This window comes from Homo sapiens, chromosome 15 (genome assembly GCF_000001405.40).
Source record: "Homo sapiens chromosome 15, GRCh38.p14 Primary Assembly".
NCBI lineage: Eukaryota > Metazoa > Chordata > Mammalia > Primates > Hominidae > Homo > Homo sapiens.
The window spans coordinates 55,260,521-55,287,253 of record NC_000015.10 but is presented as its reverse complement, the minus strand read 5'-3'; the positions used below and the strand labels follow the sequence as shown (position 1 = coordinate 55,287,253).

The window sequence follows — 26,733 nt, the reverse complement described above, 5'->3', positions numbered from 1 at the left end:
CTTTCTCTTATACCCCACATTAAATTCCTCAGCAGGCCGGGTGCGGTGGCTCACGCCTGTAATCGCAGCACTTTGGGAGGCCGAGACAGGTGGATCACGTGAGGTCAGGAGTTCAAGACCAGGCTGGCCAACATGGTGAAGCCCTGTATCTACTAAAAATACAAAAATTAGCGGGGCGTGGTGGTGGGTGCCTGTAATCACAGCTACTCAGGAGGCTGAGGCAGGAGAATCGCTTGAACCCAGGAGGCGGAGGTTGCAGTGAGCTAAGATCGTGCCATTGCACTCCAGCCTGGGCGACAGAGTGTGAGTCCGTCTCAAAAAAAAAAAAAAAAAAAAAAAAAGAATACATCTAGGATGATAACCATTTCTCACCACTTCTGCTGCTTCCACCAAGTTCTATCATCTCTGTCACCTGGATTACTGCAAAAGCCTTCTGAAGGGCTTCCCTGCTTCCACCCTTACTGCTCCACACTCTATTCTTAACACAGCAGCCAGAGTCTATTATGTCACTCTGCTTGAAACTCTCCAGTGGCTTTTTATCTCAGAAGTGACAGAGTCCTCACCATGGTCTATACAACCCTTGCATGGAGTGCGGCTTCATCTGCTATCACTCTTGCCTTTGCTGACTCTGCTCCAGCCATACCTCAGGACCTTTGCACTTGTTTCCTCTGCCTGGAATGCTCTTCCCCTCAGATGTCTGCATGGCTTTCTTATTTATTTCATTCAGGTGAAAAGTCATTTTTCTGGAGAGGCCTTCTTAGACCACTCCATCTAGAATAGTATCCCTCACCTATCCCATCATTTTCTGCCCCCTTACCTTGCCTTGTTTTCTTTCGAGTATTTATAGAACTGTCATACACAGACCAGCACACACACACAACATTTGTCTTTCACTGGTAGAAGACAAGCTCCAGGATGGCCAGTAATCTGCCTTGTTCACTGTGATGTCCATAGCACATAGAATGGTTTCTGACATATATTAAGCACTCAAAGAGATATGTGTTGAACTAATGAAAAAGGGAACAGAAGACAGAGCAATAGGGATCATTCTGCCATTTCTCCCATCCAAGTACTAACCAGGCCCAACCCTGCTTGGCTTCCAAGATCAGAGGAGATCGGGCACATCCAGGATGGTATGTCTGTAGAGTGTTCTGCTATTTCTTTCCCACTATTCCATCCATTTTTTTCTAAGAGAAGCAATGTCTATAGATACACCAACATCTCCTAAGTCTCTCGTCTTCTGTCCTACTTTCCCAAAAATAATAGTCTTATCTTCCTTAAAAAGGGAAAGGTCAAATAAGTAGAAAGGTGAGGATTTTGGTCCCTCCCACAGTGGCAGACCGGAGCCCTCTGTCTATATCCTGGGCAAACTGGGCAGGGCCATTCAGTGCCTATCTCCAGGGTGTTGGCCTCTTGTGCTAATTTAAGAAGAGTGAAGTTTTTTGGAAATTTGAGAAAATGGAAATTCATTTCTTATTTATTTATTCAATAGAAACGGGGTTTCACCATGTTGGCCAGGCCCCTGAGAAGGGAAATTGTCTTGCCATCGCTAAAACAAGATTGGTTCTTGAAGAGAGTAATTTTTCCCTTCTATAGCCTTCACTTTTTATGCCACTTGCAGATTTTCTTGGACTGTATTTGTTCTTCTGCCTCTTGGTCAGGAAGTTTGAGTTTATGATTTGGTTTCCCTTAAGCTAGGTGCAGACATGAGCCCTGAACTGGAGGCAGAGATAAAGGGTTTGTAATTTACTTATGTTCGTAGGGTAAGGTGTGTGGAGTAGAGAGCATTCAGCTCTGTTTGGACTCTCTGGTTTTGCAGGTACTTGTATGATTGAGGTCTAGTAATACTCATATTTTATTTATTGTCAAGTAAAATTAGATGCCTCTCTTACGAGGAATGCTGAAAGTTTTGTTCCTCCTTTCCTGTTTTTTTTTTTTTTTTGGTTGTTTGTTTTTCGTCTGTATATGTTGCCCTTAAACAGAAGTTTACCATGTAGTGCTTTAGTCAGCCAACCTCCCGTGTGTGGAGTGAGAGTTTTGATTCTAATGTGGGGATGGAGGTGGGGTGCCAGATTTAGCAAACTAAAAAAAAGTTAAATTTGCATTGCAGAAAAACACTAAATAATTGTTTCCTATATCTTATACATTATTTGGGACATACTTTTACTAAAAAATTGTTCTTTATCCAAAATGCACATTTAACTGGATGTCTTGTTTTGTGTCTGGCAGCCCTAGCTGGAGTTTATGTTTATGCATAGGAAATGCATCGATGGTGAAAATGTCCAAAGAATGATTGAGCCATGGCTGATTTTTGGTGATTGTGCATGTATCCAAAAGAGAAGATTTGTAAACCCAAGGAGTATTAGAATTAGAAGGAAGTTAGAGAACATTTCATTTTACTCTAGTCTTTTATAGTTAATGGAATTTACTCCAGAGAGGTTAAGTCACTTTGTCAAAGTCACATAGAGTTAGTGGCAGAGCTGGAAGTGGGACTCTGGAACCAGCAGTTGTTCTGCTGCATAATCCCTTCCCTTAAGAGGTCATGAAGAAGTTGCTTATGTTTTCATGTTGACCTTTAATCACATCTCTAGCCATCCACTCAAGATCACCTCATTATCATACTGTCCTTCAGTCCCCAGATCCAACATGTGGCAGCCAAAGCCATTCTCATGAGACACTTTGACTTTTCTCTGAGAGCCGCATAACTGTTGAAAGCCCCATGTGGTTCTTGTCCCTGCTGTTATGCCAGAAAGCCTGTAATTCAATGTGGTTTTATTTTTTTTTATGGTTTTGTTAACACTTTTGACCCTCTGGAGTATTTATTATAAGGTGCTTTGATTAAGGTGGTCTTACTGAGTATAATTCCACAACAACTAAGTGTTGTCTTATGGAAAGCCTGCTTGCTTTGAGTGGCCTATTCCCACAAAATTCCTCACCCCTTTTTATTTTGGTACAATAAATATGGAAGATATACATATGACAAGGACCAAGGTAGATAGACAGGTGTATGTGACTTGCTCACTAGAGATCTGTTCTTTTTAAACAAGATTTTATTATTTTTTATTGTAATTATTTGTACCTATTTAAAAGAAAGCAGCCTTGAAAATGAACTGCTTTCTCTAACTGCTATTTGAATACCATATTTCAGAACCACTAATCTTGTTTTTTCATAGTTTCATTGGTTAATTCATATAAAGTCTTACCAGCTGCCAGGTCAAAGCATAATAATAAAATTGGTTGCCACGAGACTGAAAAGTCTGTTCATTCTTATTTGCTATAGTTTATCTACCTTGGCCTGATCCCACCACCTGGGAGGCTGGTCAAGTCCTATCAGGGTATGGCTAAATACTAATCTGCTGTGTATTTGTATCGTTAAAAGCAAAGTCAAGGTCTAAATCAGCTAGTTAAACACAATAATATGATACTTTTGTTCTTGCTGTACTAGCCCTAATAAGGGGAGAAATGAAACATACAGAAATAGGTCATGACTTAAATGTTCATTTACAAAACTAAAGAATTTTAAAATATAACCTATGATTGTGGTCAGGATTTCTTTGTTTCTTGCTAAGAAATCATTATGAAAATAGTGATTTTCATAATAAATCGCATCATTTCAAGGAAACAACTCCAAGAATGAGTGAAGAGGTGTAACAGTCCTTGAAAAGATAAGTCATTGTCCTCACAGTCAAATACTGGAGACCTAATGTGGCTTTTCTCATTAGGGACAAGGTCAGCTGTCCCAGGTCCCACGTCTGCCCTAGGCTGTGTATTGAAGTGGGTTGTGTAGTGAAGTGGGTTGTGGTATTTCCTCAGGTGGCGGCTCATTCCTGTGTTCCGGACTTCCTGCTTGAATGTGGAAGAATCAACACAGTCAGGAATCAGTCGGTCGGTTTTTAGTCTCCATATTCCTGATTATTAACTATGTGATATCACACCAGTGTATGTCAGTTGGGGGTGATTTTCTCCCCTGCCCCACCCCACATGGGACATTTAGCAATGCCTGGAGACATTTTTGACTGTCACAGCTGGGGAGTTACTCCTGGCATTTAGTGGGTGGGGGCCAGGGATGCTGCAAAACATTCTCAGTACACAGGAGAGCCCCCAACAAAGGATTATCCTGCCTAAAATGTCAACAGTGCCGACGCTAAGAAACCCTGCATTAGACAACTCATTCAACCTCTTTGGCTTACAGTTTCCCAAGTTACACGTTCTGTCCATCATGTAAAACTAACTAAGCCTAACTACCGCTGTTGTCTTTCTAACCTCTCCCTCACCCCAATTCTAAGTCAGTAAATGTGGGGTAGGGCTCAGGCTGTTTGTTTGTTTATTTATTTATTTATTGTCTCCACACGGGATTCTGATGGGCAGTTGCAGTTGAGACTGAGAACCACTGCCCCCAGGGATCATGCGAAATGGGGTTCTCGTGGAGGTGCCAGGTTGGCCATAGGAGAGGAGTGGACCCTTTGGGAACAGCCTACCAGCAGGAGGAAGTGAGAGGCTGGTCTTCAGTGCCTGTCTATTGTGTGCTTCCACATGAGCGAAAGCCACATGAGCAGGGGACCCCAGAGATCGTGTACCTGAAGGGTTACACAGGGACTTGGGTTCTCAGTCTTTGCACGATAAGCTCGCAGCTGCCAGGAATGTCTACTTCCCAGATTTCCAGCTGACCACCATACCCTGGAAAGGAAATAATAAAACTGGACAGTTTCTTTATTAACACCCTGATTCTAGCTTCACTAGAGCTTCTCTGGGAGGTTGAAAATCTGTAACAAAAAACCTCACCCTGAGTCATCATCCCATTTTGCCACCCAGATAAGGAAACCACATTTGTTACACTTACAGAATTGTGTAATTTAAGAGCTAGTAGGGACCTTGGAAATTGTAGCCCAGGCTCCCCTCCCAGAAATCCAGAGCTGTGCCTCAGGTCACATAGCTAATTGATGGCAGGGATGGTTCCAGAAGCCTGGTCTGATGGTTTCCTGGTGTGTTCTTTTTATGTTCTTATTCTAATACTTCTTGATTGGAACCAGTTGTACTGTGGACAATCCAAAATTCTATGTGTTGTTCAAAAGAAGTGACATCTAGATGGAACTTTGCTAACACCCAGAGTCTCTTCCTTGAACTCCTCTGAAATACATTAGGAGGTGAAACAAGTATATTATGATTTCCCTATGTTAAAGCAGTGCAGAAATATCCAAGTGCCTGCTCTGTGCCAGCTGCTGGTTAAAGGCCTGTACTGCTACTTTTCTGTTCCAATTCTTGCCCCTCCCTGCCATAGCCCATTCTTCACACAAAGCCAGTGATGTCCCAAAAAAGGAACTCACACTCTTGAGGAGCATGAGACAAAATTTTAAAAAATTAAAGGAATTCAATTCATATCCTTCTGCTTAAAATCCCTTAGTTGCTTTCATTGTAATAGGTATAAGATCCAAATATGTACCTGTGGTCTGTAAGGGCCTCTGGTTTCTTTTTTTTTCCTTCTCTTTTCCTTTCCTACCTTCCTTCCTCCCTTCCATTCCCCCTTCCCTTCTCCCTTCCTTCCCTTCCTTTCTCTTCTTCCTTCCCTTCCCTTCTTTCTTGTCTTTGTCACCCAGCTCACTGCAACCTCAACATCCTGGGCTCAAGTGGATCCTCCTGCTTCAGCCTCCTAAGTAACTAGGACCACAGGAGCATGTCACCATGCTGGGCTAATTTTTGTATTTTTAATAGAGATGGGGTTTTACTATGTTGGCCAGGCTGGTCTCGAACTCCTGACCTCAAGTGATCTGCCTGCCTTGGCCTCCCAAAGTGCTGAGATTACAGGCATGAACCACTGTGCCTATCCTGGACTTTATTTTTTAAATGAAACCAGAATGCCAGTTTATTGATATATGAGAAATGGAACTGCTAAGCAGAGTAGATTCCTTTTTTTGAGGACAGTGTATGCTTCCTTTCGGAAGAATAGCCAGGTGAAGCAAATATAAAAGGAGAAGGCTACTTATACTGGCTAAGTATAGACTCAGGACCCAGTGAATTGGAAATCAAAAAGACCCAAGAGCTTTAATGCTGGAGAAAGATTACCATGTTAATGCTTCCTCAAAACTGGCTATACATGAAAATGGCACAGGGAGCTTTTGTTTAAAACATGCTCACAAAAGAGTGTAAATTGATTCAACCATTGTGGAAGACAGTGTGGCGATTCCTCAAGGATCTAGAACTAGAATTACCATTTGACCCAGCAATCCCATTACTGGGTATATGCCCAAAGGATTATAAATCATGCTACTATAGAGACACATGCACACGTATGTTTATTGCAGCACTATTCACAATAGCAAAGACTTGGAACTAACACAAATGTCCATCAATGATAGACTGGATTAAGAAAATGTGGCACATATACACCATGGAATACTATGCAGCCATAAAAAAGGATGAGTTCATGTCCTTTGCAAGGACATGGATGAAGCTGGAAACCATCATTCTCAGCAAACTATCTCAAGGACAGAAAACCAAACACCACATGTTCTGACTCATAGGTGGGAACTGAACAATGAGATCACTTGGATACAGGAAGGGGAACATCACACACCGGGGCCTCTCAGGGGGTGGGGACTGGGGGAGGGATAGCATTAGGAGAAATACCTAATGTAAATTATGAGTTGATGGGTGCAGCAAACCAACATGGCACCTGTATACCTATGTATCAAGCCTGCACATTGTGCACATGTACCCTAGAACTTAAAGTATATATATATATATATATATATAAACCATACCCACAAGAAACAACAACACATTTTTCAGTCTCTCCTTTGGTGATTCTAATTTATTAGGTTTGTGGCTAGGGCTTGGGAATCTATGTTTTATTTTAAATACTGCTCTAGTGATTGTTGGTGGACAACCTGGTTTGGGAACCAGTGTCTAGCTCACCTTTACTCCCAGCCTGAGTAAACTCAGGCTGGAAGAGATCATATGTCTCATGCAGAGTCACACAGCAAGTGAGTGGGAAGATAGAACTCAAATCTCCCTGTCCTCTCTATGCATTGTTCAAACAACATAGTAAGATTCTCAGGGACAGAGGCAGCACAGCCTCGGAAATTGTTGGTTTCTTAGTTTTTTTCTCTATTTACATGAAACTAACCAGTCTAGTGTCAAACAGGAAATATACACAGCATAGTTTTTCTTTTTTTATTGCAAAGTGTCAGATTAGGACCAGTAACATCAGCACCACCTGGGAACATAGAAATGCAGATTTTCAGCCCCACTCCAGACCTACTGAATCTGAAACTCTGGTGGGGCCTAGAGTCTGTGTTTTAAAACCATCTAGGTGACTCTGATGCACCCCGAAGCTTGAGAACCACTGTCTACAAGTACATTTCATGACTCAATCGCTGGTTAAGGCTGCTGACCTCGGCCTTTGTAGTTGATGAGTCATTAACATTGAGGCCTTAACTTTCCTGGCCATCTGCTTTCCTTGGTGATATTTATTCAAAACAGGTGACATTTATTCAAAAACTATTGTTGTAAGTCTTCATTAGAATGCCATACACAAGCGAGGGAATGGACTTTTATTGAGCACCTGCTGTATGTGAGACACTGTGTGTGAGGCTATTACTTATTTCATTTGATTCTCACAACCACCTTGCTAGGTCAGTATTATTATCCCTATTTTACAGATTTGGTATCTGAGGCTAGTAGAAGTTAAATATGATCTTGATGTACAGGCTATTTGCCTAACTGTAGTTGTACATTTTTGCCATCTGTTGTCTCCCTAGAACAGTGGCTTACAAACTTGATTGTGTATAACCAGAAAGCCCCTGGGAAGCTTGATATAAATGCAGATTCCCTAGGCCTCCCTTGCAGAGATCCTAATTCAGAGGCCTGAATGGGACCCAGAATTTTGGATTTTCATCACATATCCTAGGTGATTCTGCTGCCAGTCCTGGATCCATTTTCACCTGCCCTAATTGGTTGACCAGTTGCCCCTCAAGGCTTCTCTGAGGTTCTGTGTTGTCCTGTGTTTTGTGGTCACAGGCCTCGGACACTGGGTGGAGAAGAAATAGAAGAGTATGGGAGGACAGGCCATGGGGGCCTTTATTAAGAGTCTTATCTGCCTGGCTCTTTCTGCTGTCTCTACTGCTTCTTAGAGGGTTCCTAGGCCATATTTTGGCTTTGAGTAACTTGTGATTCTTTCCATTATCTATCCCAAAGTTTGGAACTGTTCTTTTAGCAACTGTGCCCTTTTGTCTGTGGGGTGCATAGATGTGAGCAATTTCCTTCAGGCTGTAATTAATAAATGTGGAGTAGGGAGTTGCTTCAGCTTTTGAGTTCAGAAATGGTATTTCATCCGTTTGGTGATACAAGCCCTTATTTTTCAGGGATAGAATTGACATAATTAGTGAATGACTTGGCTTAGAACTTAGAACTTAGAAATGCAGATTTTTCAGCCCCATGTCAACGTACTGAATTCACTAAATAATTAGAAGACTGGGCCAGGTGCGGTGGCTCACGCCTGTAATCCCAGCACTTTGGGAGGCTGAGGCGGGCAGATCACGAGGTCAGGAGATCGAGACCATCCTGGCTAACATGGTGAAACCCTGTCTCTACTAAAAATACAAAAAATTAGCCAGACGTGGTGGCGGGCGCCTATAGTCCCAGCTACTTGGGAGGCTGAGGCAGGCGAATGGCGTGAACCCAGGAGGTGGAGCTTGCAGTGAGCTGAGATCGTGCCACTGCACTCCAGCCTGGGTGGCAGAGTGAGACTCCCTCTCAAAAAAAAAAAAAAAAAATAATAATGATTAGAAGACTGAATAATCTGGTGCTATTATGAAGGAAAAAAGTGAAATGGAAATTAAAAACAAATTTCAGATATGATGCCTCTTCTTTGTGAGGTGGCAGGCTGATTTCTGTTCACAAGTTTAGAAGCGGCTACTGACATAAATACCCCAGGGCTCCCATAGTGTAAAAGAGTCATTTCTATGAAAATATAGTGGAAACCTGCCAGGCTTTTGTCCAGTAGAGAAATCAGAAATGTTGAACTATTAAATTTCTTTAATATGTTTTAGTCCCTGAAACAAAATGTGTGTTACAAAATGGGAAGGAAATTCACAAAAGCAAACATTGCAGCTTCCTGAAGTCCACTATATATAAAGCAAATTACAGGTTATGTTTCTAAGAATACTTTCTTTTTCTACCTGATACTAGGGTTGATAATAACAATATGCAAGTGAGTATAATAGCTACAGCTACCATATGTGTCAAGAGTTATACAAACATTTTCTCATTTAATCCTCAACAATCTTTCAAAGCAGATATTATCTTTCATTTTACAGATGATGAAACAGGTTGAAGAAGATGAAGTAACTTGCCCAATGCTGGGATATGGTTTCCCGGGATGCATGACTTTCAGTGCTATAACTCAGTCCCCACTAAACTGGGATGGTTGGTCCCACTGAGTGTCACCCAGCCTACTGACCCATAGTTGATAGTAAGGCCAAACGGTTCTGAGTTGGACAAATGGTTAATGTATTGAAAATTGCCAACCTGCATCACAGAGCAACTTTCAGAACATTTTTTGGTGCCCATTTTTCTTCATTTTACACACAGTTCTAATAAGCTTGGTTATTTGGTTTCCAGGTGCCTTGTCAATTAAAAACAGTGCATCGGAAGGGGTAGGGGTTGTCCCAGGAAGGCACACTGATTACTGTGGTGAGGGATAGCTGCCTGACAGCAAAGGTGAGGGGAGGGAGAAGGAAATATAAATTAACAAAAGACACGAAATAAATACAGCAGTCAGGAGCCATTTATTATGGAGACAAACAGGCTGGTCTCGAACTCCTGGCCTCAAGTGACCTGCCCGCCTCTGCCTCCCAAAGTTCTGGGATTACAAGTATGAGCCATCGTGCCCTGCCAAATTTACCAAAGTTATACGTGGACGTTGTTTTACAAGGGCTGTTACAAAAAACCAGTAGACGCCTCTCCCCCAGCCCATTTCCTGCTCTCCAGAGTTAACCACTGAAGTCTTGCAGTAGTTTATACATCTAGTCTCTAAATGACACATTTATATTTCTGTGGTCAGTTTTTCAGTTTTAGTCATTATCTATTGATACTTTATTACAGAAGTAGAGAATTTAGCTCATTGCTCCATCCACCCCTGCCACAAGTATACCATTTTCATCTCCTCTTTCTTACCTGAGTTTGTTCATTTGTTCCTACGTTTGTTTGTTCATTCTTTCCTTCCCCTACTTAACAATTTATTTTTAAAAAAACTACTTTATGGGAGGTATTATTGACAGATAAAAAGTCTGTACATATTTAATGTATACATCTTGATGAATTTGGGGATAATTATTCACCCATGAAACCATCGCCACCATCAAGGCCATAAATGTATCCATCACCTCCCAAGGTTTTATCCTGCCTGTTTTATTATTATTGCATTTTTGTGTGTGTGTGGTAAGAACAATTAACACTGGATCTATCTTCTTAGCAGATTTTCAGTATATAATACAGTATTATTAGCTATAGACACTATACTGTATAATAGCTTTTCAGAACTTATTTATTTTGCATAACTGAAACTTGTTCTCTTTAACTATGACCTTCCCATTTCCCCCTCCTCCCAGTCCCTGGCAACCATCATTCTGCTCTCTGCTTCTGGGAGTTTGAGTTACTTTTTTTTAAATTAAAATTTTTTCTTTTAGAAACAAGATCTTACTCCGCTGCCCGGGCTGGAGTGCAGTGACGTGATCATAGCTCACTGCAGCCTTGAAGTCATAGGCTCAAGCAATTGTCGCGCCTCAGCCTCTTGAGTAGCTGGGGCTACAGGAGTGGCCACCATGCTTGGAGAGTTTGACATTTTAGATTCTATATATTAAATATATGGGAGATCACATAGTATTTTTCTTTATGTGTCTGGCTTATTTAACTTAGTATAATATCTTCCACCTATCTGTATTGTCACAGGTGGCAGGATTTATTTCTTTTTTAAGGCTGAATACTTTTTCATTGTATGTATAGACCACATTTTCTTCATTCATTCATTGTCAGTGGACATTGAGGTTGTTTCTAAGTCTTGGCTATTGTGAATAATGCTGCAGTGAACATGGGAGTACAGATATCACTTAGAAATCCTGATTTCAATTCTTTCAGATGTATTATACCCAGAAGTAGGATTGCCAAATCCTATGGTATTCTATTTAAAAAATTTTTGAAAACATTTTTTTAAAGAAGCTCCATAATGTTTTCCATAGTGGCTGTACCAATTTGTATTCCCACCAACAGCGTACAAGGTTCCCTTTTCTCCACATCCTTGCCAACACTTATCTCTTGTTTTTTTTTTTTTTTTTTTTTTAATTAGCCATCCTAGCAGATGTGAGGTAATCAAAATCATTGTGGTTTTGATTTGCATTTCTCTGCTGATTAGTGATGTCGAGCACTTTTTCATATACTTGTTGACCATTTTTAATGTATTCTTTGAAAAAATGTCTATTCAGGTCTTTCGCCCATTAAATTTTTTTTTCTTTTGGGGGTTGTTTTTTTGGTATTCAGTAGTATGAGGTTCTTGTATATTTTGGATATTAACCCCTGATCAGATTTACCTTTTTTTCCCTTCTATAGGTTGCCTTTTCTTTCTTTCTTTTTTTTTGAGGTGGAGTGTCATTCTGTCACCTGGCTGGAGTTCAATGGCACAACCTCTGCTCACTGCAACCTCTGCCTCCAGGCTCAAGTGATTCTCGTGCCTCAGCCTCCCGAGTAGCCAGGATTACAGGTGCCCACCACCGTGCCCAGCTAATTTTTGTATTTTTAGTAGAGATGGGGTTTTGCCATGTTGGTCAGGCTGGTTTCAAACTCCTGCCCTCAAGTGATCTGCCCTCTTTGGGTTCCCAAACTGCTGGGATTATAGGTGTGAGCCACCATGCCCGGCCAGTTGCCTTTCCATTTTGTTGTTTCCTTTGCTGTGCAGCAGCTTTAGTTTGATGTAATCCCACTTTTTTTTGTCTTTTTTTTTTTGTTGTTGTTAGATGGAGTCTCACTCTGTCACCCAGGCTGGAGTGCAATGGAGCAATCTCGACTCACTGCAACCTCTGCCTCCTGGGTTCAAGTGATTCTCCTGCCTCATCCTCCCAAGTAGCTGGGATTACAGGTGTGCACCACCATGCCCCAGTTAATGTTTGTATTTTTAGTGGAGACGGGCTTTTACCATGTTGGCCAGGCTGGTCTTGAACTCGTGACCTCAAGTGATCCACCTACTTTGGCCTTCCAAAGTCCTGGGATTACAGGCGTGAGCCACTGCGCCCGACTGGATTATTTAGAGTATCTCTTATTATTCTTTGTACCTCTGTGGTATCAGTTGTAACACCTCTTATTTCATTTATAATTTTATTTATTTGAGTTTTTACTCTTTTTTTTAGACTAGCTAAAGTTTTGTCTGTCTCTCTCTATACATATATATATATATATATATATATATATATAATTTATTTATTTTTTTAAGGACGGATTCTTGCTGTGTCACCCAGGCTGGAGTGCAGTGGTGCAATCTCAGCTCACTGCAACTTCTGCTTCCCAGGTTCAAGTGATTCTCCTGCTTCAGCCTCCCAAGCAGCTGGGATTACAGGCACCTGCCACCACGCCTGGCTAATTTTTGTGTTTTTAATAGAAACGGGGTTTTGCCATGTTGGTCAGGCTGGTCTCAAACTCCTGACCTCAGGTTATACGCACGCCTTGGCCTCCCAAAGTGCTGGGATTACAGGCATGAACCACCGCACCCAGCCAGTTTTGTCAATTTTGTTTATTTTTTCAAAAAACAGTCTTAGTTTTATTCATCTTTTCTTTCTTTTCTGTTTTTTTGGTCTCTATTTCATTTTGGCTCCAATTTTTATTATTTCATTCTTTCTTCTAATTTTGGGCTTAGTTTGTTACCTTTTTTCTAGTTTGTTGCAGTATAAACTTAGGTTGTTTACTGGAGATCTTTCTTTTTTCTTAATGGAGGCATTTATCGCTGTAAACTTCCCTCTTAAAACTGCTTCTCCTGAATCCCCTAAAATTTTGATGTGTTGTATTCTATTTTCATGTATCTCAAGATTTAAAAAAAATTCCTTTTGATTTTATTTGGCCCATTGGCTGTTCAGGATTATGTTACTAAATTTCCACAGATTTGTGAATTTTTCAGTTTTCTTCCTGTTATTGATTTCTAGTTACATATCGGTGTGGTCAGAAAAGATAATTAATATGATTTCGATCGTCTTAAATTTGTTGAGACTTGTTTTGTGGCCTACTGTATGTTCTATCCGGAAGAATATTCCACGTGCGCTTGAGAAGAATGTATATTCTCCTCTAGTTGGATAGAAAGTTCTGTATGTGCCTGTTAATTCCATTTGTTCTATAATGTTGTTCAGATCTGCCATTTCCTTATTGATTTTCTATCTGGATGATCTGTTCATTGTTGAAAACAGGGTATTCAAATCCCTTACTATTATTGTATGGTTATCTATTTCTCTTTTCAGTTTGGTTAATATTTGCTTTATATATTTAGGTGCTTTGATGTTGGGTGCCTACATGTTTACAACTGTTATATCTGCTTGATGAATTCACCTCCTTGTCACCACATAACTACCTTCTTAGTCTCTTGGGACTGTTTTTTACTTGAAGTCTATTCTGATATAAGTATAGTCACCCCTGCTTTCTTTTGGTTTCCATTTGCATGAAATATTTTTTTCCATCCCTTTACTTCCAGTCTGTCTGCCCTTAAATCTAAAGCAACTCTCTTTCAGGCAGCAAATAATTGTATCTTATTTTTTATATATATTCTGTCATTCTATGTCTTTTATTTTTTATTTTTATTTTTATTTTTTTTTTTTTGAGATGGAGTCTCGCTCTGTCGCCCAGGCTGGAGTGCAGTGGCGCGATCTTGGCTCACTGCAACCTCCGCCTCCCGGGTTCAAGCAATTCTCATGCCTCAGCCTCCCTAGTAGCTGGGATCACAGGTGCCCTCCACCATGCCTGGCTAATTTTTTTGTATTTTTAGTAGAGATGGAGTTTCACCACATTGGCTAGGCTGGTTTTGAACTTCTGACCTCAAGTGATCTGCCCGCCTTGGCCTCCCAAAGTGCTAGGATTACAGGCTTGAGCCACCGTGCCCAACCTCTATGTCTTTCAGTTGGAGAATGTAATACATTTACATTTAAAGTAATTATCGATAGATAGGGACTTACTATGCCATTTTGTTCATTATTTTCTATTTGGTAGTTCGTTCTTTCTTTTCTTCTTCTCTTGGTGTGCTGAGCTGCTTTTTAAGCAGATGACCACCATTCTGTCTGTTTTGAGTCCCTATGTTACTGTCCCCCAAATTCCAGAAGTTTTGGGGTTCTGAATCCCTGAGACTTTCTGGAGATTCTGTGATGAGTTCCTTCTTGGATTTCCCTACTGGCAGATAAAGAGTCAGCTTTCCGAGGTCTGCTAATCAGTTACCTCTAGTCCATCTACTCTGTAGCTTCTACCATTTTGTTGCTTCCACTACCTGATCTTTGTCCTTGTGAGTTTATGTCTAAAAGAAATAAAACATTCTTTATTGCTATATTAGTGAGATTTTGGGAGGCAGCAGAACCACATGTACATGTTGAGCATGCCATCTTTATTCTGAAGTCTGAAAGATATTTTAGAAAGCTTTCAATACAAAAGCATCCAAAAAAGGTTTTGTTGCTTTAAGCAGACTATGAAAATTGGTATTGTCATAATTTTACTTGCTATTCAAATTATAGTTCCAGAGTTAGGAATGTTAGTATTACCTGGGCATCACCTGGGTGCTTACTAGGAGAAATACAGACTCCTGAGCCCCCTACAGGATTTTTTTTGTTTGTTTTTGTTTTTTTGAGACGGAGTCTCACTCTGTCACCCAAGCTGGAGTGCATTGGTGCGATCTCGGCCCACTGCAAGCTCCGCCTCCCGGGTTCACGGCATTCTCCTGCCTCAGCCTCCCGGGTAGCTGGGACTACAGGCGCCCGCCACCACACCTGGCTAATTTTTTTGTATTTTTAGTAGAGACGGGGTTTCACCGTGTTAGCCAGGATGGTCTCGATCTCCCCCTACAGGAATATTGAATCAGAATTAGCATTTTGAAAGATCCCTAGGAGATTCCTATATATCCTGATGGTTGAGAAGTGCTAATATGAACTTGTAATTAAAGGAAGCTAACTCTAATGAATTTTAATCTGGGATTTAAAAATCTGGATACATTTTCTTACTAAATTGTTCTCAAAATTCTCGAGGTTGCTGTGTGATATAAAAAAGAAAGAGGTGCATTTTCATGAGATTTTCGTCAGGTGTGAAACGAAAATTCCATTTCATTTACCATGAGAAGAGATGTCAGACTGGTTGTGCTCAGACTTTTCTTAGTTGCCCACAGTTCTTGAGGCCGGTGGTGGTTTTTTTAGATTGGACAGATTGAGTCTTCAGTCACACGTTGAGCTGCCATAATGAAAGCGTAGCTTCTCCTAGAGGCAAGGGATAGATTGATTAGTTCTATGTCCGACATTTCACCCAATAATTCATAAGTGCTCAATAAGTGATTGTGGGGTGAATGAACAAAAAACAAGATACAACCCCTGTCTTCAAGATTGTCACAAAGCAACAGCAAAGACCAAGAAATAAATTGAATAATTAGCATACAGGGGTGACCATTTCTAGAAACAGTAAGCACAGGGAAGGTGTATCCAGCTCAGCATTGCTGGCACAAGGAGCCAAGGAGCTGATTCTCTTAGTGAACAGAACTTGGTGGATTTACAGCAGCAGCTCTCACACTTTAGTGTGTATCAGAATCACCTGGAGTGCTTGTTGAACCACAGACACCTGTGCCCTATCCTCAGAATTTCTGATTCAGCTGGGTGGGCCCAAGAATGTGCAAATCTAATAAGTTCCTAGAAGATGCTATAATACTGGTCTTGGAACCACAGTTTGAGAACCACTTAACTTAGCGAATTATAAAACGTACTGATGGCTGGACTCTAGCAGCTTATAGGAAGGAGGCGGTGATACTGAAGGCAGAAGCTTAAGGAGCAGGGATTTTATTGTGGAGATTGTGGGGAGCCATTAACAGGAGAGTGATGGACTCTCATTTGCCTTTTGGAAAGATCACTTTGGGTGTGGTGTGGAGGATGGATCAGAGTCAAGAATACGTGGGGACCAGAAAACCAAATAAGTGGTTTATTATAGCCATCTAAGAAATAATAAAAACTTGGAGTAGGAGCAAGAAGATGAATATCCTTAGGACTTGGTGGCCAATTGGAAGTGGGAGGGGCAGAGAGGGAGGAGTTAATGAGAGCCATCAGATTTCTGGCTGTGTTGGGATTGTGTGATTCAAGACACAGGAAGAGAAGTGGGTTTGAAGCAAGGTTGTGGAGAAAAGCAAAGGAGGTGAGTACGGGACATGCTGGATTTGAGATGCCAGCAAGATATCTGGGTGGACTCCCTTGTAGGCAGTTTTACTTATGAAATTGGAGGCCAGCTGCAAGGTCTGGTAAGTAATCTAGCCCCATCCCTCCTGCCACTTCCATTTGATCCCCCATATTGTTTGTTTGGATCAGGCATTGTATTTGTAAGCAACAATATGAATATAACCTTTAAGGGCCTTGAGAATACAAGGCACTTTCTCAAGAAAACAAATGTTCTACTGTTTTGATTCACGGGGTAGGTGGGCGGAAGAAAGAGCTGAAGTGCAGAGTCTTCTAACACCAGAAGAGGTTAATAAAGCCGCCCTCTGAGTGGCCAGTCGAACTGGAACTTGGTAAGCTTGAAAGGGGCAAAAATCACTTGACTGGTCTGCAGTGCCATATGACAAACAGCTGAGACTAATTAGCTGGATTGTGGGTTTTTACAGCGATGCCTGTTTTGAAAGTTGATGGAGCGAACTGCTTTTCCAAAGACTCTTTTGAAAAACTTTTTAAGTAGGCCATTCTGACTTTAACATTTCTCTTTGTCTTAACATTAGACAAAAAGTAACCTTCCTGAAGAGGACATGTGATTGGAAGTTGTCAATTGTTGAAGCATTGGTAACTCCAGTCTCTAACGTTTTAGAAAATCATAACAAGCGGTTCTCTACCCTGTAAAGGTATGGTTTTGTATTTATCTTTTTTTTTTTTGGTAGTGGTTTTGAGCTCTGTCATGTCAATTTTCATGCGCTTAAATTATGTGCAATATAACATACAATACCATTGCACGTACTGTTTTTAAACTAAAGACTTAATGATGTCTACTAAATTTCTTGGGATTAGTTTGAAAAGTGCATTTTCAGTGACCACGGAGTGGGTATGAATACTGACCGCATTCTTCCTTTCTTTTCTGTACTTGAATAAAGAAACATAGGTTTTTACTTTCAGGAAATTGTTGAATATGAGAGCTGATTAGGAAATTGAATTATTCTGAGAGTCTTGCTTATCCTCTGAGGGTTGTTTGACAAAAATTCAAGCTTATTGGTGTTTTGTTTTTGATAGTATTAATAGCTTTTGTTTTGTTTTGTTTTGTTTTTTAAATTTGAGACAGAGTCTTGCTCTGTCGCCCAGGCTTGAGTGCAGTGGTACAATCTCGGGTCACTGCAACCTCTGCCTCCCAGGATCAAGTGATTCTCCTGCCTCAGCATCCTGAGTAGCTGGGACCCCACGCTACCATGCCTGGCTAATTTTTGTATTTTTAGTAGAGATGGGGTTTCACCATGTTGGCCAGCCTGCTTTCTAACTCCTGACCTCAAGTGATCTTCCCACCTGGGCCTCCCAAAGTGCTGGGATTACAGGCATGAGCCACCGTGCCCGGCCTAAAAGTGTTAATAGTTTTAATGGAGGAATGTAAGTGTGTGTTTTAGTATAAGGTTTATTTCTTCTGGGAATTAAATCTGCTTTTAAATTAGTGTTAATTCTGTTAGGTTTGATAAGGGTATTGTTATGTAAGGAAATGTCCATATATTTTAGAAATACGAAATGAAGTATGCCGGAGTGAAAGATCTGAGTGGTGAGTGTGATGGGAGATTTCATTATATAATTCTACTTCTGGATATTGTATTAGTTTACTAGAGCTGCCATAACAAAGTACCATAAACTGGGTGGCTTTAAAACTGTGTGATTTCAAAAACAGAAATTTATTGCCTCACAGTTCTGGAGCCTGAAAGTCTAAGATCAAGATGTCAGCGGGGTTGGTCCCTTTTGAGGACTGTGAGGGAGAATCCGTTCCAGGCCTTTCTGCTTAGCTGTGGATGGCTGTCTTCTCCCTATGTCTCTTCATGCCATCCTCCCTGTGTTCATGTCTGTGATCCCAGTTCCTTTCTTGTGAAGAGACCATGAGGGTGGATTAGGACCCACCCTAATGACCTCTTTTTAACTTGATTCCCTCTATAAAGGTCCTAGCTCCAAAAAACATTGTATTCTGAGGTACTGGGAGTTAGGGCTTCAACATGTGAATTTTAGGGGGACACAATTCAATCCATAACCGACATGTCTGAAAAGCTTCTTAATATGACATTTTAAAGATTTGCCTCAAAATGCATGCAGTAAACATTTGTTAAGCCCAGTGCCTGGACTGGGCTGGATTTTGAGTGTGTGAAGATGCATAAGACATGGTTCCTGTCTACTAACCCATGGTTTAATCAAATATAGGGATCTAGCTTTGTGAGTGTGTACGTGTTTACTTATTGCTTCCATTGAGTTGTAGCCACTCTCACACTTGTGTGTCCCTGGGAGCACAATCAGGGTCCTGACACATGGACAGCCTAACCACAAGAGACACCTGGAAGGGTTCCCGTGCTCTGAGCACCCATAAGCATAGATTAAGAGAGTGGAAGGACTTCATATTCACCCAGTCCATTCTTCTCATTTTACAGATGAAGAAATTGAGGCTCAGAAGTGCTAAAGTCATTTGCTAATTTGTATTAGTGCCAAGGCATCCTTCAGAATATCCTGGCTTCCATTCCAGTGTGGTGACCAAACAATACTGTTTTCTTTGCCACAAACTCATGCTTTTCACCTGGGAATGAACCCCAACCCCCATTATCAGAAGTCATTGTGGGAAAGAGCCTTGATAAAAAGCTGACATTCTCTGTCAAGGTTCTTGGATTATAAATACCAAAAAAAAAAAAAAGATGTTTTGGGGATGAGTGTTTATTCATGAGGGCATTTTATCCATAGAATGAAGTTGGATTTAATACATTCCAAAGGAGTTTACCCCCATCTTGGCTGCTCTCTCTGTCTCTTACCACTTTCTCCTTGTCACTTGTTGAAATAGTTAAGTCACAGAGGTATGACCCTGCAGCCATAAGAATACAAACAACCATTTTTCTTCTTTCTTGGTGCTTCTGCTGCCCACAAGACAGGAACTGTGGCAGAAAGGGAACGGTCTGGTGAAATCTTGCTGGCTGGCAGGATGGCGTCACGGCAACTAGGCTGCCTCTCTCTGCGGCTGTTTCAGCTTCCGCCCTCTCTGGACCCTCGGTACCTGAGTGCTCATAGGGGAAACTGTCTTCTTCCTGCCTCCATTTCTGTTTTTCCTCAGTAGGATTAAGGCTTCTTGAGATATCTGCTCATCTTTTGCTATTATTCCTTTCTTCTCCCTTTGAACTTGTTTGATTTAGAGCCAGAGCTCAGGCTATAGCATACGTGATAGCTGATGAGTCATGTGAAGCCCATTAAAAGCAAAAGCTGATTATCACAAGAACCATTATTTATTTGCGCTGTCTATGCAACAGCACATTTTCTTTTGCGCTTCTGGTGTTGCTGCAGCGTGGCTGGGGCCCTGCCCTCTTGGCAGAGCAGAGGTCCTGTGGTGTAGGCTGGGGGGCAGGTAGGGGAAGTGGGTGATGGATGAGATGGGGTGCTGCTTGAGAAATGAGCTATCTTTGCTGCTGCTTCTCTGAAGGCAGAATCTGCTTTGCTCAAACACGGGTATAAATCATCCTTTCAAGAGCTGAGAGCATCCATTTTTGTTTGTTTTTCTTGTTTTCCCCGTTTCATACCCTATCAGGCCTCCTTTCTTGATGACATAGTCTAAGCTGGAATCTTTTAGCTATCTTTTAGCTAGATGGTAAATCCAGCAAATAGCTCAATGATAAGTCCATTCATCCAGCAAACAGTGAATGGATTTGCCATTTTCACACGGAGAAGGCCCAGACCACTTCAAGTTTGTACCTCTGTGGTGTGGCAACTGAGCCAGCCTGTGGACAATCACTGCTTGAAAAATCTCCTTCCTAGTGTCCTTCTTGTATCTGTCTTGCTGCTCCTTACATTTTTGTTCTCTCTTCACTCTAAATGTCCATCTCATTTTTCCCATGGCCTAAGGAAATACTATTATGTTGATGACACTAAAATTCATAGCCATATTCTTCTTGTGAGCCCTAGGTCTGTTTTCCAAATGCAAATTAAACACAACTCCCTTGATGTCCCTCAGACATGAGAGATGTTTAACTGGTTGTGTACCGTACAGTGTAATGTGGTAGTTGAGAGTGTGTCTGAGATCACATCTTGGTTCTGCCATTTCTGGCTGTGTGACCTTGGGCAACTTTATTAACCTTTCTGTGCATTGGTATTTTTCATCTGTAGATTTAGGGACCTTATACGGTTGTTGTGAAGACTAAATGAGTTAGTGCTTTAAAGGATTTAGAATAGTGCTTAGTGTTAGTTATAATAATTATCATCTTCTCAAACCATCTTTTCCTTTTTCAGTTAATGTTATACCATTTATTTACCAAACTAAAAGTTTTGGTTATCTTTAATTTCTATACTAGTCTGTTAAGAAGTTATATTGATTTCTACCTCCTAAATATATCTCAAATTAATCACTTCTTCTTCATCCCTACTGTCACCAACACAATTCAAACCCTCAAAATCTCTCTCCATATGTCTTAACCAGTTCAAACTGTTATAACAAAGTACCATAGACTGGATAGCTTGCAAACAACGGAAATTTATTCCTCATTGTTCTAGAGGCTGAAAGTCTGAGATCAGGGTATCAGCATGCTCAGATTTTGGTGAGAGCTCTCTTCCAGGTTGCAGACACTTGACTTTTCACTGTATTCTCACAAGGCAGAAAGGTAGCTCTCTGGCCTCTTCTTATAGGGGCACTAATCCCCTTCATGAAGGATCTATCCTCAAAACCTAATTACTTCCCAAAGACCTGCCTCCTTATACCATCACATTGGGGATTAGATTTCAACATACAAATTTTGGGGAGACACAAACATTCAGTCGGTAACATTAGAGCCTTCTGATGCTCTGTGTATTTCCAGTCTCCATGTGGCTGCCATAGAGATCTTTCTAAGGCACACATCTCATGGTCCTCTCCTGCATAAAGAGCCCGTGGTGGCCTTCTGTTGCCCAGAGGATAACACACAAACTTTTTAGTGCCATGTCACAGTCCTTTTAGACCCAGGTCTCAAACACTTTCCCATGTTTTCAGCCTCTGTTCTGGATACATTCTCCCCTACCTCCATGCATCCCTTCAGCCACATCCACTGCTGAAGTCCTTTAATGCATCCTAAGTAACCTTAGCCTCTTACACCTTTGCAAGCGCAAACCCTCAAACCCTTACCTGCCCGCATCAGTCAGCCCAAGATGTGTTCCCTCCTGACGGTTCGAAACCTGGTCTTTTTTTTTTTTTTAATTTTGAGCATCAGGCATTCCTTACCAAATTCCATCAAAACTCAGTTACATGTTTTGGATTGGCATCAAGAATTATTTGCTTATAGTTTCTGTTATCTTGAAAGGATAATGCTTATTTGGCTGACATGTGAGGTAAAGTCGTTCCCCACATTATCTAGTGCACTGTGTAATTTTTGTCCATTCACATCTGTCACTTGTCCTTATGTGTGCCTGTACACTCACATTCTGACTTTAGTCCTTAGCTCAGATGCCCCTGTGTGAAGTTTTTCTGATTCCCTCCTTAGACATTGTGGGCTCCTTCTTCTCCCTCTTGTGCTATCTCCCCAGCCCTCCCATCTCCCCAACGGCTTGTGCATACTTCTGTTACAGTTCTTCTTCTTCTTCTTTTTTTCTTTGAGACAGAGTTTTACTCTTGTCGCCCAGGCTGGAGTGCAATGTGCGATCTCGGCTGGCTGCAACCTCCGCCTCCTGGGTTCAAATGTTTCTCCTGCCTCAGCCTCCCAAGTAGCTGGGATTACAGGCATGCGCCGCCACGCCCGGCTAATTTTGTATTTTTAGTAGAGATGGGGTTTCACCATGTTGGTCAGGCTGGTCTTGAACTCTCAACCCCAGGTGATCCGCCCACCTCGGCCTCCCAAAGTGCTAGGATTACAGGCATGAGCCACCATGCCGGGCCCTATAGTTCTTGTTTCCATGCATTTTCCTTGGGCATTTCCACAAACAGCTTACCTATTAGACTGTTGCTCTTCTAGAGCCACATTCTTGGTGCTTAACATAGTGGCACATCCACAATTCTTGTTTGTTAGATGTTTAATTGATGTGCTCATGAGCTACTGCTTAAATGACTGAATGAATTTCAGTCATTTAAACCAGGCTCTCTCCCTCCTCAGTGGCATCAAGCTTTACTAGTATATCTTTGGATCATTGGTGGAGGCCAATTTACTTATCAAACCTCATTTAAAATTATTAACAGATTTTGGAGAGGTATATGTATGCTATTCTGCATTTAACTTCTGTTATATTTGAAGTACATTTAATATATATTTTTTGGGAAATACTTTCCTATGTGTTGTGAACACTACAACCCTTTCCCACATCCTCCTATGCTTCGTAATTTTGATAATTTCACATTTGTCATTTGAGCCAAGTTTATTTTTCTCTAAAACAGCTTAAAATTTCTGTTAAAAAACAGATCCCCATCTATTCTAGCTTATAGAGGTTGGAAAAATGTTTAAAATCTAAACGTGATTAAAGGTTTGTAGAAATCACAAAATAAAGATTTTGGCTGGGCACAGTGGCTCACACCCAAAGTAATCCCAGTACTTTGGGAGGCCGAGGCCGGCTGATCACCTAAGGTCAAGAGTTTGAGACCAGCCTGGGCAACATGGCGAAACCCTGTCTATACTAAAAATAGAAAAATTAACCGGATGTGGTGGTGCATGCCTGTACTCCCAACTACTTGGGAGGCTGAGGCATGAGAATCACCTGAATCCAGAGGCAGAGGTTGCAATGAGCCAAGATCGGACCACTGCACTCCAACTCCAGCCTGGGTGACAGAGTGAGACTCTTGTCTCAAAAAACAAAAACAAACAAACAAACAGAAAAAATAACCCTGGCTATAGTTGAGAGACTCTTTGGAGTCAGGTGTGGACTAAATGTTGTATTCTCTTACGATGTTTAATGTGGTTTTTTGTAAGACTAAAGACTCCAGAATTCTGTTACAGAGTTGTTTGCTGATTTGTTTCTTTTGTGTAAGTGCCCTTTTCATTTCTAGATCATGGTTACTCTAACATCGTTCCTCAAATATATGCATTTCATGGAGTTAAATGAAATACAGACTTTAGGACAATTAAACAGACTAATGGAAAAACTTGGCAAAGTTTTTTTAAGTGGGTCCTAAATTATTAGCTAGAATTCAGAAATTTGGGTTCGGCTTCTTTAATTTTAAAATTAAGAAGAGACATGGGCTGGCCTCTTTAACATACAGTGTTGAATTACAGAATGCATAAACGTTATTCCTTGTCTCTCTTCAGATACTTGGCATTTTTATAATCTAGTGCCCTACTTTCTAGGTATTAAATGGGGGAACCCAAGTGCTAGTAGTTAAAATTAAATATAGTACTGTGTTCAAAAGAAAATTCGGATGATAGCTAATGCATTTTCGATGTTTCTCTAGAGGGTGAAACACCATTTCTGTTTAAAGCATTCTACTATAATTCTTCCTCTAGTGACTGCATCTCAAGTAACTTTTTTTTTTAAGCCCAAGACGGGAGCGACTTATATAAATGTAATATGGCACATTTGAAGACTGGTTTTGGGTAAGGTCACCTCAAGGACCTGGCACCTATTAGGTATTTCACTTTTTAGCCATTCAAATATTTATTAATTACCCTGAGAACTACCTCCCTTTGCTCTCCCCTACCCCCTGGCGAATGCAAAAGGAAGAAACAGAATTACTTTGAAAGAGAAATTCTAGGTAGAAAGTATGAGAAAAGAGCAGAAACCAGGAAAGTGAGAGAAGAAGCTAGAAGAAAGGAAAGAAAAATATCAAAGGCGGAATAAATATAAAAGCTGGTAAATTAACAGATTAAGGGAAAAAAGTAGCAGTCTCCTTGATACATGCTGAAACAAAATGTGATAAAGTTGACACCCATTCATAATACTCGTACTTAGCAAACTAGGATAGATGAACTTCCTTGACCTGATAAAAATATGTACCAAAAATCTACAGCAAATGTCATTCTTAACAGTGAAATGTTAGAATCAAGACATGACGAGACTGGGCTGGGCGTGGTGGCTCACACCTATAATCCCAGCACTTTAGAAGGCTGAGGCAGGTGGGTGGCTTGAGCCCAGGAGTTCCAGACCAGCCTGGACAAGGGAGGCTGGGGCGGGACAGTCACCTGAGCCTGGGAGGCCGAGGCTGCAGTGAGCTGTGATTGTGCCATTGCACTCCAGCCTGGACAACAGAGTGAGATCTTGTCTCAAAAAAAAACAAAAAAAAAGAAAAAAAAGAGATAAGACTACCTGTATCACCATGTCTATTCACTGTTTTTTTGTTTTGTTTTGTTCTTACCTATTTTTTTTTTTTCTTTGAGTCAGAGTCTCACTCTGTTGCCCAGGCTGGAGTGCAGTGGCGTGATCTCGGCTCACTGCAAGCTCTGCCTCCCGGGTTCACGCCATTCTCCTGCCTCAGCCTCCCGAGTACCTGAGACTACAGGTGCCTACCACCACGCCCGGCTAATTTTTTTGTATTTTGAGTAGAGACGAGGTTTCACTGTGTTAGCCAGGATGGTCTGGATCTCCTGACATTGTGATTCGCCCACCTTGGCCTCCCAAATTGCTAGGATTACATGCATGAGCCACCGCGCCTGGCCGACTTTTTATAATTAGACTAAAAGGTAAGATTAGAAAGGAAGAAGTAATTTATTTTTACCTAATATGTTTAACAGATTGCTGGAATTAGTATGGCTATGTAAGAAATAGAAGATACATGTTTAAAAGTTATCACAGTAGTGACAAAAACAAAGTATCAATAAGTTGAAAGATGTACAATATCTTCATGAAAAGAGTTTATTGAAAACTTTTTTTTTTTTTTTTGGGATGGAGTCTCGCCCTGTCACCCAGGCCAGAGTGCAATTGTGCCATTTTGGCTCACTGCAACCTCTGTCTCCTGAGTTCAAGCAATTCTTCTGCCTCAGCCTCCCGAGTAGCTGGGATTACAGGTGCATGCCACCATGCCCAGCTAATTTTGTATCTTTAGTAGAGATGGGATTGCACCATGTTGGCCAGGCTGGTTTTGAACTCCTGACCTCATGATCCACCCACCTCGGCCTTCCAAAGTGCTGGGATTACAGGCATGAGCCACTGTGCCTGGCCCGAAAACTTTTCAAAAAGATGCTTTTTTTTTTTTTTTTTTTTTTTTTTGAGATGCAGTGAGTGATCTCGGCTCACTGCAACCTCCGCCTCCTGGGTTCAAGCTATTCTTCTACCTTAGCCTCCCAAGTAGCTGGGACTACGGGCACACGCCCCCAAGCCTAGCTAACTTTTTTTTTTTTTTTTGGTATTTTTAGGAGAGATGGGGTTTCACCGTGTTGGCCAGGCTGGTCTTGAACTCCTGATCTCATAATCTGGCTGCCTTGGCTTCCCAAAGTGCTGGGATTACAGGTGTAAGCCACAGTACCCAGCCAAAAATATTCTTTTCTTAGAGTTTATTTATTTATTATTTTTATTTTTTTTTGAGACAGAGTCTAACTCTGTCACCCAGGCTGGAGTGCAGTGGCACGATCATGGCTCACTGAAACCTCTGCTGCCCGGGTTCCAGCAATTCTCCCACCTCAGCCTCCTGAGTAGCTGGGATTACAGGTGCCTGCCACCGCGCCTGGCTAATTTTTATATTTTAGTAGAGATGGGGGTTTCACCATCTTGGCCAGGCTGGTTTTGAACTCCTGACCTCGTGATCCACCCGCCTCGGCCTCCCAAAGTGCTGGGATTACAGGCCACCATGAGCCACCATGCCTGGCCGAGTTTTAGTTTTTAGAGCAGTTTTAGGTTCACAGTAATACTGAGTAGAAAGTACAGTTTCCATATATTCCCTTCCCTCCCAAACCCCCCAACATGCATAGCCTCCCCCACTATCAACATCCCATACCAGAGTGGTACGTTTGTTACACATGATGAACCTCTATTGACACATTATCATCCAAAGTCCATAGTTTAGATTGGAGTTCACTCTTGGTGTTGTACATTCTATGGGTATGTATACAAATGTATAATGACATCTATCTATGTTATAGTGTCACACAAAATAGTTTCACTGCCCTAAAAATCGTCTGTTCTCTGCCTATTCATCTCTTTCACTTCCCCCACTCCAACCCCTAATAACCACTGATCTTTGTACTATCTCCACAGTTTAGCCTTTCCTAGAATGCCACATAGTTGGAATCATACAGATTGGCTTCTTTCAGTTAGTAATATGCATTTAAGGTTCTTCCATGTTTTTTCATGGCTTGATAGCTCATTTCTTTTTAGTGCTGAATAATTTTCCATTGTCTGAATGTACCACAGTTTATTTATCCATTCATCTACTGACGAACATCTTGTTGCTTCTGAGTTC

The 26,733-nt window shown here is 41.3% G+C and overlaps 1 protein-coding gene across 15 annotated transcripts in view, besides 1 other annotated feature; it reads left to right on the top strand.

Moving 5' to 3' along the window:
- Positions 1-26,733, top strand: part of RAB27A (RAB27A, member RAS oncogene family) — a 116,158-nt gene that overhangs the window by 31,870 nt on the left and 57,555 nt on the right. For 8 of the 15 annotated variants that reach the window (NM_001438970.1, NM_183235.3, NM_001438975.1 and 5 more), the window contains exon 2: positions 16,970-17,089. The exons of 1 other annotated variant lie outside the window; for it this stretch is intronic. The gene's annotated coding sequence lies outside the window, so the exon portion shown is untranslated. Of the gene's footprint in view, positions 1-345; positions 3,886-16,331; positions 16,766-16,854; positions 17,090-26,733 lie in introns of those variants that run through there. 6 more of the 15 variants (NM_183236.3, NM_001438978.1, NM_004580.5 and 3 more) reach the window with 4 other exon arrangements.
- Positions 7,269-7,563: an enhancer, noted in NCBI's record as "tiled region #6285; K562 Activating DNase unmatched - State 5:Enh". NCBI's record gives its function as "activates a minimal TATA promoter and a strong SV40 promoter by Sharpr-MPRA in K562 cells {active_cell/tissue: K562}" and the evidence as "EXISTENCE:reporter gene assay evidence [ECO:0000049][PMID:27701403]".